This window comes from Homo sapiens, chromosome 3 (genome assembly GCF_000001405.40).
Source record: "Homo sapiens chromosome 3, GRCh38.p14 Primary Assembly".
NCBI classification, from domain to species: domain Eukaryota; kingdom Metazoa; phylum Chordata; class Mammalia; order Primates; family Hominidae; genus Homo; species Homo sapiens.
Genome location: NC_000003.12, coordinates 172,130,016 through 172,143,294, shown reverse-complemented (window position 1 = coordinate 172,143,294; position 13,279 = coordinate 172,130,016). Strand labels below are relative to the sequence as shown.

At 39.3% G+C, this 13,279-nt stretch overlaps 1 protein-coding gene across 11 annotated transcripts in view, besides 4 other annotated features; it reads right to left on the bottom strand.

Moving 5' to 3' along the window:
• The window catches only part of FNDC3B (fibronectin type III domain containing 3B), a 362,092-nt gene that overhangs the window by 258,375 nt on the left and 90,438 nt on the right, over window positions 1–13,279 (bottom strand). For all 11 annotated transcript variants that reach the window (NM_022763.4, XM_017007062.2, XM_017007064.3 and 8 more), the window contains one exon: window positions 9,749–9,824. In NM_022763.4, the coding sequence (NP_073600.3) occupies window positions 9,749–9,824 (76 nt within the window). The remainder of the gene's footprint in view (window positions 1–9,748; window positions 9,825–13,279) is intronic.
• Window positions 719–768: an enhancer, noted in NCBI's record as "active region_20821". NCBI's record gives its function as "activates an Ori minimal core promoter by ATAC-STARR-seq in GM12878 lymphoblastoid cells {active_cell/tissue: GM12878}" and the evidence as "EXISTENCE:reporter gene assay evidence [ECO:0000049][PMID:35858748]".
• Window positions 1,957–2,780: an enhancer, noted in NCBI's record as "H3K27ac-H3K4me1 hESC enhancer chr3:171858305-171859128 (GRCh37/hg19 assembly coordinates)". NCBI's record gives its function as "activates a minimal SCP1, AML or CMV promoter by ChIP-STARR-seq in primed H9 embryonic stem cells {active_cell/tissue: H9 hESC(primed)}" and the evidence as "EXISTENCE:reporter gene assay evidence [ECO:0000049][PMID:30033119]".
• Window positions 6,077–6,900: an enhancer, noted in NCBI's record as "OCT4-NANOG-H3K27ac hESC enhancer chr3:171854185-171855008 (GRCh37/hg19 assembly coordinates)". NCBI's record gives its function as "activates a minimal SCP1, AML or CMV promoter by ChIP-STARR-seq in primed H9 embryonic stem cells {active_cell/tissue: H9 hESC(primed)}" and the evidence as "EXISTENCE:reporter gene assay evidence [ECO:0000049][PMID:30033119]".
• Window positions 8,671–8,720: an enhancer, noted in NCBI's record as "active region_20820". NCBI's record gives its function as "activates an Ori minimal core promoter by ATAC-STARR-seq in GM12878 lymphoblastoid cells {active_cell/tissue: GM12878}" and the evidence as "EXISTENCE:reporter gene assay evidence [ECO:0000049][PMID:35858748]".

Here is a 13,279-nt window from a genome sequence, read left to right as displayed (position 1 = left end):
TTACTGTTTTTGGAAACACACTCATGCCTGTATTCATTATCTTAAATTGAGGAACTAAGAGTGAAAATAACTAAATTTAACTACCTTTTCAGAACAACAAAAATAAATAACTTCTCTAAATTACCTAAGAGAATTTTTCCATCATTTTATCTTCAGCAGTACTATCACTGTCTGAATGTTTGTGTCCCCTACCCCAGCGCAAATTCATACATTGAAATTCTAACCCCAAAGGTGATGGTATTAGAAGGGGTGGTACTAGAAGGGGTGACTGGATCATGAGGGACACTAATCCCCATTCATGAGGGATTAGTGTCCTTATAAAGGAGGCCCAAGAAGACCCCTAGGCCTTTCAGCCACGTGAGGACACAGAGAGAAACTGCCATCTATGAACCAGAAAGCAGGCCTTCCTCAAACACCAAAGAAGCTAGTATCTTGATCTTGGATTTCCCAGCCTCCAGAACTGTAGGAAATAGATTTCCGTTGTTAATAAGCCACCCGGTCTCTGGTATTTTTGTTATAGCAGCCCAGACAGACTAAGACAAGTATCAGGAAATGACTTTCCTTCAGTCTGAATGCCTCCTGCATGCAGGATAGGCTCTGGGATACAAAGATGACTAAGCTTTGACCCTTGCCCTTGAAGAACTTAATCCAGTCTTCCTTAAAGACACTTGTAACATGAACTTTTCTATTTCAGGTTGGAAGTGCAAGAACAAGAGTAAAAAATACAGAAAGAATAAAGCAGGAACTGAAAGACTACAAGCTGTGAAATAGCCTGTGGCCAACCACTGAGGTAATGCGACACTGCTCGCTTTTCTGAATTATCTGACATGCAAAGATCTGTGACATTTAAAGAACTCTAAGCAGTGGTACCTTCAGAGATGACATTTTAATCATTGTTTAACAAGCCTAAAGGGCAGAAGGGTTGAGGAGTTAAACTGCGATTGCATAACTTTTAAACATGTTATTTTGAAGTGTTAGAATTTAAACGTGAAGACATCTAAAAAATCCTAATAACTCCAGTTCGCATAGGCTTTCTGAAATGCTTTAAAAATGATTAGCTAACAAAAAATGAAGGGGGGGTCAATGCCCACCCATAATAAAGAGCGAAAGCTTAGTAATCACTCCTATTTATTGGGCCCCTACTATGACTCAGAAATTGTTCTTAGTGCTCTGTACACAATAACTCATTTAATCACAGCAATCCTTCCAGAGAGAAATTACTATTCCAGCTCTACAGATAAGGAAACTGAGGTGTAGAGAAGTTAAGGAACTAATTTTACAATATACATCTAATGTGCAGGGGATTTTTGAGCCAGGCAATCTCACTCCAAAATCTATAATGATCTTCCCAATATATAGCCCTGACTGCTTCTTGGTACTGCCTAAGAAACAGAATGCACTAAATAAAAATTTTAACAAGTATGGAAACAAGTTTTTTTTTTTTGAGACGCAGTCTCACTCTGTCTCCCAGGCTGGAGTGCAATGGCACGATCTCAGCTCACTGCAACCTCCATCTCCCAGGTTCAAGTGATCCTCCTGTCTCAAGCCTCCTGAGTAGCTGGGATTACAGGTGCCAACCACCAAGCCCAGCTAATTTTTGTATTTTGGTATTTAGGGGGAAATAGAGATGGGGTTTCACCATGTTGGCCAGGCTGGACTTAAACTCCTGACCTCAGGTGATCTGCCCCACCTTGGCCTCCCAAAGTGTCGGGATTACAGGCGTGAGCCACTATGCCCAGCCAGAAGTATGGAATTCAATGAAAATGTAAAAGGAGGCACATTAGAAAAACTGCTTTGTTGGATAAAATAAGAGGATACAGCCTTCTCTGAATATAGCTGCTCAGGCGTGGTGCAAGAGTGAACGGCTGTTATTCAAAAGAAAACCAACAACTAAAAATCTACAACAAAATTTACTTTAAATTCATGGAACACTGGACCCATTGTTTTAGCTATAACCCCATATCTGAACAGTATACACATTCTTATAAACCTTCATCTAAAATGTTTGAACTGGTGCCATCACCAGCAACCCTATGAAAGCAAGTCTATCATAAATAAGCAATGAAAGGGAGACTAGAATTTCAACTGATTTCTACAAGTAGGAAAATGAAGTCATTGCCCACAATCATGCCATCTATTTAGGGGGGGGAAAAATCAGTAAAGCTGTGTATACAACTAGATAATGATGATAAGAATAATGACACTTACAATGGATTATCCTCACAATCCTATCAGATAGGTACTATCATTGTTCCCATTTTAAGAGAGGAAATTGGGGCTAACAGGTTAAGCATTAGCTACGAAATGACCAGGGATTCACACTACAGAGCTGTACTCTGAGAACTCAACACCAATTCATCTTAAGTCTGATGACACAACATTGGGTGACAGTTTTATCTAAGGGTTTAACATTCCGTTCTTATGTAAATATAAGAATAAACATAAAAATCAAGATAACTGAGACAGGAAGAAGGAGAAAGGCAGGAAGCAGCATATACCCTGAGTACCTCCCTTGAGAGGGACTTAAAACCTCCTAGGAAAGCAACATAGTTTGGTATTGACGTAACCCAGCCTCATGACATTACACAATCCCAGCAAGATGACAGTTGCACGTACAATCACAGCCTTTGCTCTCATTCCTTCCATAACCTGGACTTTCTGCTCTGGGCCCGTCAGTATTTTCCGGCCCTGGTGGAAACCACCTGCTGGTAAACTTCCAGTTACTCAGCAGCAAGCTGCTGTCTGTAAAAGGGTTTCTCAGGTCAGCGTATGGAATGTCTACTTGTAACAAATAGCTGTGCATCAGTCCATGTTGAGAGGAATTGCTAACTGTCATGTGCAAAATAGAGCCCCCAAACATTTCAGAGATCAAGAGTACTCCACAAAGCTGAAAGTAATTTTTCTTCAATCTTTCTCCAAATTTCATGTAAATCCAATCATGGAAAATGGAAAAATCGTCTAATGAAGCAAATATATATACACACACGTAAATATATATTTGTAGTACAGACACACACAGGTAAAAGACTGATTGGTCTTGAAGCTAACATTTAAGTATCATAAGGTAAGCTGGAGAGTTGGTAGAGTAATTCAGATTTTCCTAGAAATTCAGACTATCTTGGCTTAGAGCCTCCTGGGAGGATTAACTCTCACCATATACAGCTTTGGATCAATCAGAAAGAAAGATGGCCATGACACTAGGGCTAGCCTTGGCAAATGACTTGCTATTTTCAATTCTAGAAGATTTTCCAAGTGAGGCCTAAGTGTTCACAATAACATTTCAGCTTGTTAGCAATCCCTCACAAATCCACCAAATACTAAAGAAATGGGTTTCGGACAGGCACACTGGCTCATGCCTGTAATCCCAGCAATTTGGGAGGCCAAGGTGGGAAGATCACTTGAGCTCAGGAGGTCAAGGCTGCAACGAGCTATGATCTGATCGTGCCACTACACTTCAGCCTGGGTGACAGAGCAAGTCTGTCTCAGAGCCAGGTCTTTGTTTTTGAGACAGGATACCCTGTCTCAAAAAACAAAAAAAAAAAGAAATGGTTTTCAAGGCAGTTTCTTATGTAGAAAACAAGCTCCTAAAATCCTAATCTTGTAATAGGAAGAAACATTTCCATTTATAATACAGACATTTTACAAATAGTCAAATAACAATTCATCCAATATAATAAAAGTTGGCAAAGATTCAGAATTTAATGCATTCATGTTACAATAATTTTACTTTCAAATCACCCAAATATTTTTAATCAAAAAACTGGTTGCAAATTTCAGCCAAGACAGAGATTCACTACAATCTTTGAAAGCAAGCTTCATTTGCAACAGGTCCTCTTCCTGGGTTTTAAGCTAGTAAAACAGGAATTTCTCATTTATATGCAAAGTATGTATTAAAGGGAGAGACCATATGCATGCTTTGCTTTTGAAGTTTTAGTCTACCTCAGTTTGCAAAACCAAGCTATGACACCATTCTTGTCATTTCACACTAAACAAAGCAAGAGACAACCCAAATTCCCTAGGACCTGTCATAAAATTCTTAGAAAGAATGACAGGTCAGTGTTTTAGTGTGCCAAACAAGTCTAATAAATGCACTTAAAGTATCATATAAGGAAAAAAAAGCAACGTTAAGGTCCCAAAAGTATCACATAAGGAAAAACAAGTAACATTAAGGTCCCTGTGACATTCTGGATGCTGACTCATACATGGAGGGGCGGGGGATGGGAGACAAATGAGGAAATTCAGAAATGGTGAACAGCTCTCAATGGTGTCATTCACAGAGCCACTGGGCAGAGCATGATGTTCATCAACGATACAGTTCCCACACTCACTGAGGCAGGGGGAGAATTAGACACAGAGCTGAAGAAGTCTTATGGAGAACAAGCAAGAGCGGAAAAAGTTTCACATTCGAATAGCTTCAAAGCTACAGCCATCTCATAGTAGTGCCCTCTTAGAATTCCCCTCTGCACGCATTCTGTTGTCATTTAGTCATTTTGAGGTCTCTATTCACTTAACACAAGTCAGCAGATTAACTGCTATGGTAAAAGATTCCTAAATTATTTTGGACAAAAACTATTAGCAATTAAGTATCTTTAAATATTACTGTTTACTAACATAATGGTGCTTCCTAAGAATTTTACTTTAATCAGTATTTTTTATCACCATCACACTCACCTATTTTCTTTAGCCTCACAATTTATATCTAATAGTCTTAAATAAAAAATTACAGTATTAATAATGTAGGGTCATTGTAAAAGTTCTTTAGAATTTAAACATATTTCTCTAAAGGAAACTCATTAACTTCAATTATCAATGGAATCTAGTATTTCAAAGTTCTTCTATTGAGATTTAGAGACTGCTATAAGCACGTAACTAAACCTCTTTAAACTGCCATCAGAAGAGTAAAATTTAAAAGAAAAATCATCATGCTTGAATGTAATACCAGAGCCACTCAGGAATCCAGTCAGTAATTATTCTCAAGCTGTGTGGCTGGGGAGCAGGGTGAAGATACACTGTTTCCTGTCACAACTGAATTCACATCTAATTCGAGAGCTAAGGAAAGGTTTACGCATATAACCAGACTGTGTAGTGCTACCTCTACCTGCTCCTCCAGAATTCAGGGAAAAGTCAGGCAGTGGTCTGAGAGAGCTCTTGGAAGAAAGAGGCCTAAAGTCTTAAAGGAAGCATGATGTTTGTTTTGGCTGGAGGATTTTACAGGGAGCAGATAAAGAGATGGCATGTGTAGACAGGAAGGAAGGCTGCATTGCCAGCACCTCAGCCCAGACACAGATATGAAAATAATGGGAGAGACCCAAGTGTGCCCTCTATTAATTCCTGAACTGAAGCAAAGGCAAAATTCATACTGATTGCTAAGATTCTTTTTTCCTAACAATTAGCTCTTTATACACTTTGATCTGGCCAAGAGAAAATAAATCCTTTGTCTAGGATGCCATAGGTATAGGCTAACCCCAAGTGAGAATAAACTATGACCTTTTTTGGCCCCTTCAAGACCTATGATTCATGTTTCATGGGAAATATTGAGAAATATTCCATTAGAAATGAATCTGCGTTCACAGCATATTGTATGCTTCCTGTGTTTTCTTCCTTATCACCAAGGACATTCCCATAAAAACACATTTTTTTTTCTTTTTTAATAGACGGGGTCTCAGGATAGAGTGCAGTGGTGCAACCATAGCTCACTGCAGCCTCAAACTCCTGTGCTCAAGTGATCCTCCCACCTCAGCCTTCTGAGCAGCTGGGACTACAGGCATGCACCACCACACCTGACTAATTTTTTCTTTCTTTGGTAGAGATGGGTCTCACTATGTTGCCCAGGCTAGTCTTTAACTCCTGGCCTCAAGCAATCTTCTGCCTTGGCCTCCCAAAGTGCTGGGATTATAGGTGTGAGCTTCCCTACTCAGCCCATATTCTTCTGTATTAATTTGCTTTCAACTTCCAAGCTGCCTTTTAATGAGATCACAATGAGCTTCTGAGGTCTTTCTAGTGGTGTCACAAATGTCCTACAGATAAAATTATCAGGCTAATAAATTCAGTTACAAGTAAAGAGGACTGACCTCATACAATGTGATTTCAAAGTTTCCAGGAAGGCCCAGCAACCAACTCCATTCCCTACCTGAAATCCCCACAAAGCAGTCCCTAATCTGAAGGCTGGTGTTAAAATAGCAAAGTTATTAGGCTGACAGTTTCAACCACGGCATAATCAATGGGTATGACTTCAAAATTTCCAGGAAGGCCACCACCACCCATCACCTTCCCCTCAATTTAGAAAAACACCGCCGGATGTGGTGGCTCATGCCTGTAATCCCAGCACTTTGGAAGGCTGAGGTCAGGAGATCGAGACCATCCTGGTTAACACAGTGAAATCCTGTCACTGCTAAAAATACAAAAAAATTAGACAGGTGTGGTGGCGTGTGCCTGTAGTCCCAGCTACTCAGGAGGCTTAGGCAGGAGAGTCGCTTGAACCCGGGAGGCGGTGGTTGCAGTGAGCCGAGATTGTGCCACTGCACTCCAGCCTGGGCGACAGAGTGAGACTCCATCTCAAAACAAAAAACAAACAAAACAAAAACACTCCCGCCTGTTGGCCAGTGTTCAAAGAACATAAGTAGAGTTTTGATCTCTTAAATCCCTAACAAAATACAAATATTTCTTTCAGAAATTTCCATTACAATGTGACCATTTTCAGATTCCTTCCTAATAGGTTTTTAAATGACAAAGAACTGCCTCCCACTGTACCTACAAGTCCTCTCCCATTGTCCTGGAGCTGGAGCCCTCCCTGGCCCCAATCAACAACAGCTGGAGCTGGAGCTGGAAGCCCCACCTGGAAGCTGAGCCACCCCAAATCTGAACTCAAACCTGATTTGGGGCAGAAATAATTTAATGAGTTCTAAACCAATACTCCCTGCATCACACTGTCTGCTAGTCACTGCTCAACCAGTAGATCTCACTTCATTAACAAAGTGCTCGCCCCTAGCTTATTCCCAAGACTCAGTCTCCACCAACCACTTTTGTTCTGCAAACCATCTGTCTCATTCTGGGTATCTAAGTAGTCATCCTGCTATCCAGCTCAGAATCCTGTTACTCCAGGAACAGGAACTTAACCTTGCTGTTGTCAAGAGAATGGAGTCCTCCCTGACATAAAGGCACAGAACAAGGAACTGAGGGCATCAGACATAGCAGGGAAGAAAACTCAACTCTGCCTCTTTCTAGCTTTGTGACTTTTCGACAGGCCTCAGCTTCCTTATGTGTAACTACACACTCACTAAAGGAAAGAATGCATAGCACAGCCTGAGATGAATAAATGTTAGCAATGGTAGAGATGATGTTAATCACTGGGACTGTGAGGATGACACAGCAACTTGTGTTGGAATTTACAAATACACTGCCTATTGCCACATTTTATGTTGCTATATTCTACCCAACTGGAATGAAGTATTCACGAACTCATACTGGGACTCATATAAAGGGTTTCTTATTTTTTGCCTGAGTGACTGCCTTTTATACATTAGTGGCAGTCAATGAGTCTGAATTTGGGGTTCAGCCTGCTGGGCTGACTTTCCTTCCAGTTTCTGCAGTTCATCCTATTGCCCCAGTGCTTCCGAAACCCTAGTAAAGCACCTGGATCCAGGTCCTAGTCCTCATTCCATCCTGTGTCATTTCAGTTAATTGGGCCAGGTACCACCACTCCCCAAAATGAAGATAACCATAGTATCTGAGACTTCAGAAGAGAACAAAGAATAGGAAGCCTGGAGGGAGCCAAAGATAATGGCTCCACAATTCTGTTTTGGTCAAAGGCATTTTTGAAATCACTGTTAGGAGTGTTAGTGTCACTTATCTCCAAGTATCATCATGAATAAATACAAAGCTCCCTTTGTGAAGAGAGCAATATACTTGCAACATTTCCTGCAAAGTGCACCAGTTATAACATGGATTAAAAAAAGAAAAAAGTGGGGGAGCGGCCAACTCAGTGAAATTACATACATATATACACACAAAAAACACATATATACACACACACACACACATACACACACTCCTTAGACACCAAAAAGTAAACTTAGGTGGAATGAAAGAGATTTTAATGCATGTTCATCCACTAAGTGATTTGCTTTTATAGATTCTATTACACACACTCAGTTGTAGAGGGACATTATGTACTAGCCAATTAATGGGGTGCCAATGTTACCATAACCAGAGGCTTAATTGCTTTCTTACTGAACTGGAAACTTCAGCTTCATCCCATATAGGTGACTTTCATCTAGTTTTTCTAGTGTGATTTTTTTTTTTTTTTTAAGATACAGGGTTGTAGGATTCTGAGGTTTTAATTGTTCACGGTATCTGTTTATTATAGTACTACAAATAGGTGAAAGACTCTATAGTCCATACTATTTAAAAATATTTCTTCTCTTCCTTGACCTGAAGTTTCCCCATATTGTGCATCGACTAAGACTAGGTTTTGATTTTAAATGATTTAGAATTCCAAAGATCAATTTCTGGGACACAACAGAGAAATGCAGAGTAGAAATCATTAATAAAAGTGATTAAATAATTTCATATTAACTTCAATTAAAACTCATTAGCCTTGAATCTTTAAAAATATACTCATTTCTCAAGAAATATTTTCTAAGTTTTTGTTCTTATAGATACAAAAAAAAAGTACAAAGCAACATGCTCTACTATTACGCAAGGAAAAAAAAAACTGTTTCTATACAGCTTATTATGGGAAACCGAAACTAAAGGGCATTTCCCCCAGTTTGTTTGTATATTGGTAAGCAAGTTCAGGTATTAATAGTAAAGCCTCAGATTAGATTCCAGTTCAATTAATAACCTAATACTGATCTCAATTGCATGCCATTTACCATTTGCCCCATAATCCCAGTCACTGTCAAAAAGAGCTATCATAAACAGTGCCTTTTAACACTACAGTGTTTACCAGCTAACATCAGATCTAGGTTGATCTTCCTACACAGAACTCCATATGGATCAAAGTACCTACATCATTTATTTCCAAGTGAACTATACAGAAGAGGCATTAGTATACACACTAGAAGTGTGCTAGGAGCTGTAATAAAATAACTACACCCAAAAGCCTTACCTACACCTGGAACTTTAGATGATAAGGTTCTGAACTCTGAGCTAATCCTATAATGGGATAAGACTTTTGGAGATCTTGGGACGGGGCATTTTGCATTTGGAAGGAACATGAATCATCGGGGGCCAAAGAGTAGCCTGTGTTGGGCAGCCTCTGAGATGGCCCCCAATGACCTGCCTCTTGGTATTCACGCCCTTTCATAATTTCTTCTCTTGAGTCTGGGCTGGACCTACTAGCTCCCTCTTGCCCTCTAGTTATTGGCTCTGAAGCCAGCTGCGGTAACATAAGCTCCCTCCACTTCTCCATGGAGAGGCCCACTTAACAACTAACTGTAGAAAACTTCCTACCATTAGCCCCCTGTGAGTTAATAAATGTTGTTATAAGCCACCAAATTTTGGAGTAATTTGTTACTTAGCAATAACTAACCAACAGATACCCAATACAGATTTTACCACTAAAAATGTCCTTTGGATAACATCATAATATATATTTGAGACCATGCGACAGAAAAAAAAAGAAAATGAATATCCAAGATATACTTTACTTCTAGAAAATTACATGCAGACACACACAGAAAAACATTACTTCCTTCAAATAAAGAAAAAAATCTTTGATTAGAATATTTACCAAAAATGTCCTTACCTTGAATGCACTGAAGTGTTCCATCCTCTGCTCTTATTGTGAAAGTCTCACCTGGATTAACTTGAACGAGAATAACCTGCCAAAACAACACATTAATTTCAGTTTAATACTGGAACCTCTGGGATTTGTTAAGTGTTATTACCTAAATTTATATACTAGACAGGAAGCATGTGGCATAAAATCTTTTATAAACACAAAACTTGGAGTATAAGTCTTAATTGGGGGCATGGGGGTAGGAGGAGTACATGCATTCAAATTTAGCTAAGTGAATTCTCCTGTGTTGCTTATGATGCTATCTAACTTTAAAAACTCCATTTGAAGAAAACTTTTCTTTGAAAAGCACAATTCCCTTTTCGCTTTCACAAATTTAGAAACTACAATTACAGAAGAAAAAACACCAGAAACCATACTTACAGAAGAAAGCTGCATCTAGCAATGAGGTTTTGACCTAACAGTGCTGCATACTGTTCCCAAGTGTCTATTACTGATCTGGTTATATGATTCTATTGTGTGACAACAAAAAATATTTACAAGAAAAATTTTTATAAAAAGAATTATCTGTGTACAGGATCTTAAGACAATAATGAACAGTATTAAATAAATATTATAAATAGGCCCCGCCAAATACCCAAATGTTTAAAGTCAATGTTTTACTTATATGAACATAAATATTTAATATTAGACAACTTCCAAGACTAGACCATGAGTGGTAATAGCAAAGTACGTTCTGTCAACAGCCTTATAGTTTTATTAATAGTTCTAATCAAAGGATAATCAAAGGAAAAAAATCACTAATTGATATCTAAATACAAGTTAAAAGACATAATACAACTTAAAAAACTATAGTTAGGCTGGGCACGGTGGCTCACGCCTGTAATCCCAGCACTTTGGGAGGCTGAGGCAGGTGGATCACTTGAGGTCAGGAGTTCAAGACCAACCTGGGTGAAACCTGGTCTCTACTAAAAATACAAAAATTAACCAGGCGTGGTGGCAGGTGCCTATAATCCCAGCTACTTGGAAGGCTGAGAAAAGAAAATGGCTTGAACCCAGGAGGCGGAAGTTGTGGCAAGCCTAGATCACACCACTGCACTCCAGCCTAGGTGACAGAGCAAGACTCCATCTCAAAAACAACCACCACCACCACAAAAACTATAGTTAAAAACCACCATGTACAAGGCTAACACTATTTTAAAAATCACCATATAATTTCTAGAAATTGACAGGATGTCAGTGTCACATTCATCCTACAGTTATCGGAACAAGCCCTGTTCCTCCCTGGCTTGAAACTGTCAAGCATACTGTTTCCTCTGTCTGTGATACTCTTCCTGTACTCCTTCATCTTAGCTTACCACCTACCTTCCTCCATCCTCAACCAACGTCTATTCATCCTTCTCAGCTTGTGATAACAGTGTTTTGACTCCCAGGACAGGTCAAGTCCCCCACTATGTGTTCTAAATCAAACAAAAATACCCGCTCTACTACTTCTTCCTAGAATTTACAACTGCAATCAATTAACTAAGCAATTATGTTAGTGTCTGCCTTTCCTTCTTTAATCTAGGCATGATAAGGATAACATCCAGCTATCTAGCCCCATGCCTGGCATAGAATAAGTTATGTGCTCAATAACTACTTTCACTGAATGAATGAAAGTCATAAAACATTAAAAAAAAAACTATTGCAAATAATTATCTCAGCTTAGAAATTAAGCTTTCATAAGATGCAATTTAAAAGTCAACTTTATTTACTGTATACACTATAATTTGTTTTGTAAAACTTTTGAAATCAAAACCATTTCATCTTTAAATACTCAATCTTTAATATCCATGTATTTTGCCTCTTCTAATAATTCATCCAGATGATACTGCTGGAATACTAAATTTTTTTAAATCAGAAAATACATTACCTGGAAAAAACAGGATCATTCAGGGAAACTCAGACTAAGCTTCACCCTTGGTGCTTCTCATTATCTTGAATTATGACAGTTATTTCAAGGCAATTTATTTTTCCTATATAATAACTGTAGATAATCTTTGAGTTTTCAGTATTTAAATTATCACCAATGTAAGCACACTGTACTGTTTCAAAAACTCAAAAGGAAATTCCTTCAAGATCTCTAGAATGATTAAAATATTTGGTTTTTTTTTTTTTTTCTTGAGACGGAGTTTCGCTCTTGTTGCCCAGGATGGAGTGCAATGGCGCGATCTCAGCTCACTGCAACCTCCGCCTCCCAGGTTCAAGCAATTCGCCTGCCTCAGCCTCCCCAGTAGCTGGGATTACAGGCCTGCACCACCACGCCTGGCTAATTTTGTATTTTTAGTAGAGATGGGGTTTCTCCATGTTGAAGCTGGTCTCGAACTCCTGACCTCAGGTGATCCGTCCGTCTCGGCCTCCCAAAGTGCTGGGATTACAGGCGTGAGCCACTGCGCCGGGCCAAATATTTGTTTTCTTGAAAAGGAGCTTTTAAAGTCATTTCTTTAACATGAAAATCATTTATTTTTACATAAATATACAATATAAAAACTACAATGGAAGAAAATCACACTTCAATACAGACAATTATCCATGTCTTTTTAAAGGTCCTTAGACCAATTCTAGCATCACTGTAATAAAGCAAAAACCATTTGCTTTGTGTTTAAAGCTCTAGGGATAGAACTGTAATATATGCCCATGGAATTAATTAGCTGGGGGAGGGGGGAACCAATGGATGCCAAGACTCTATGTCCTAGATTTTCTCTGACAATCCCAAATTCATATACTCTCTTCTACCACGCTCATAATTGTCAGACAATGTGCCCTGAATACCGGTTCAGAAAATACAATTCACCAGTATTACGGAAAGTCCCAGGCAAGAAAACGGATTTCTGAATTGGGACATGTCCGGACTGTCGTCACATTATCTGCTTATCATATTGCACAAAAAGTGTCTGTAACAGTTCCTCAGTGGTCACTGACACCAGGCCAAACTTCAAAGAACGACGCAGAGGCATCCAGCCTCTAAGGTCCACTTATACCTTCCCCCCCTGCTTACTGAGTTCAATTCCTGACCCCCATCCCACTTCTTCAGGGAGAAAGATGATAGGTAACGGGCTTTTAAGCATCCGACGAAAATACCTCCCTTCAAATGTTTAGTTCATGTAATTTTCACTGCTGCTGAGTAGCCATAGCAACCAGATTATAATCTACCAAGTTACCTCAGAAACCAGGCAAGTCTCCTGTGTCCCAATATCAATTTTTCTCAGTAGAGCAGAAGTCATTATTTAAACAAACCATATTCATCTTGGCACTGAGGTATTTTAAAAGAAAGCATTTTATTATACTGAGGGAGGCTGACCACCTAGCTGTTTTCATTGTCAATAAAGCAGAGATAAAAATAAGTTTGACACACACCAGCCCAATGACCGGTCCTGACAGCAGACATGAATGAGCTGGCGGCAAAAGGTCTTGCATCACGCAGCCCCGAGGAGCATGAGTCACAACCTGGCCAACTCCCGGCACTTAACCTTTCCTATCATACAAGTTGGGCAATTTCTC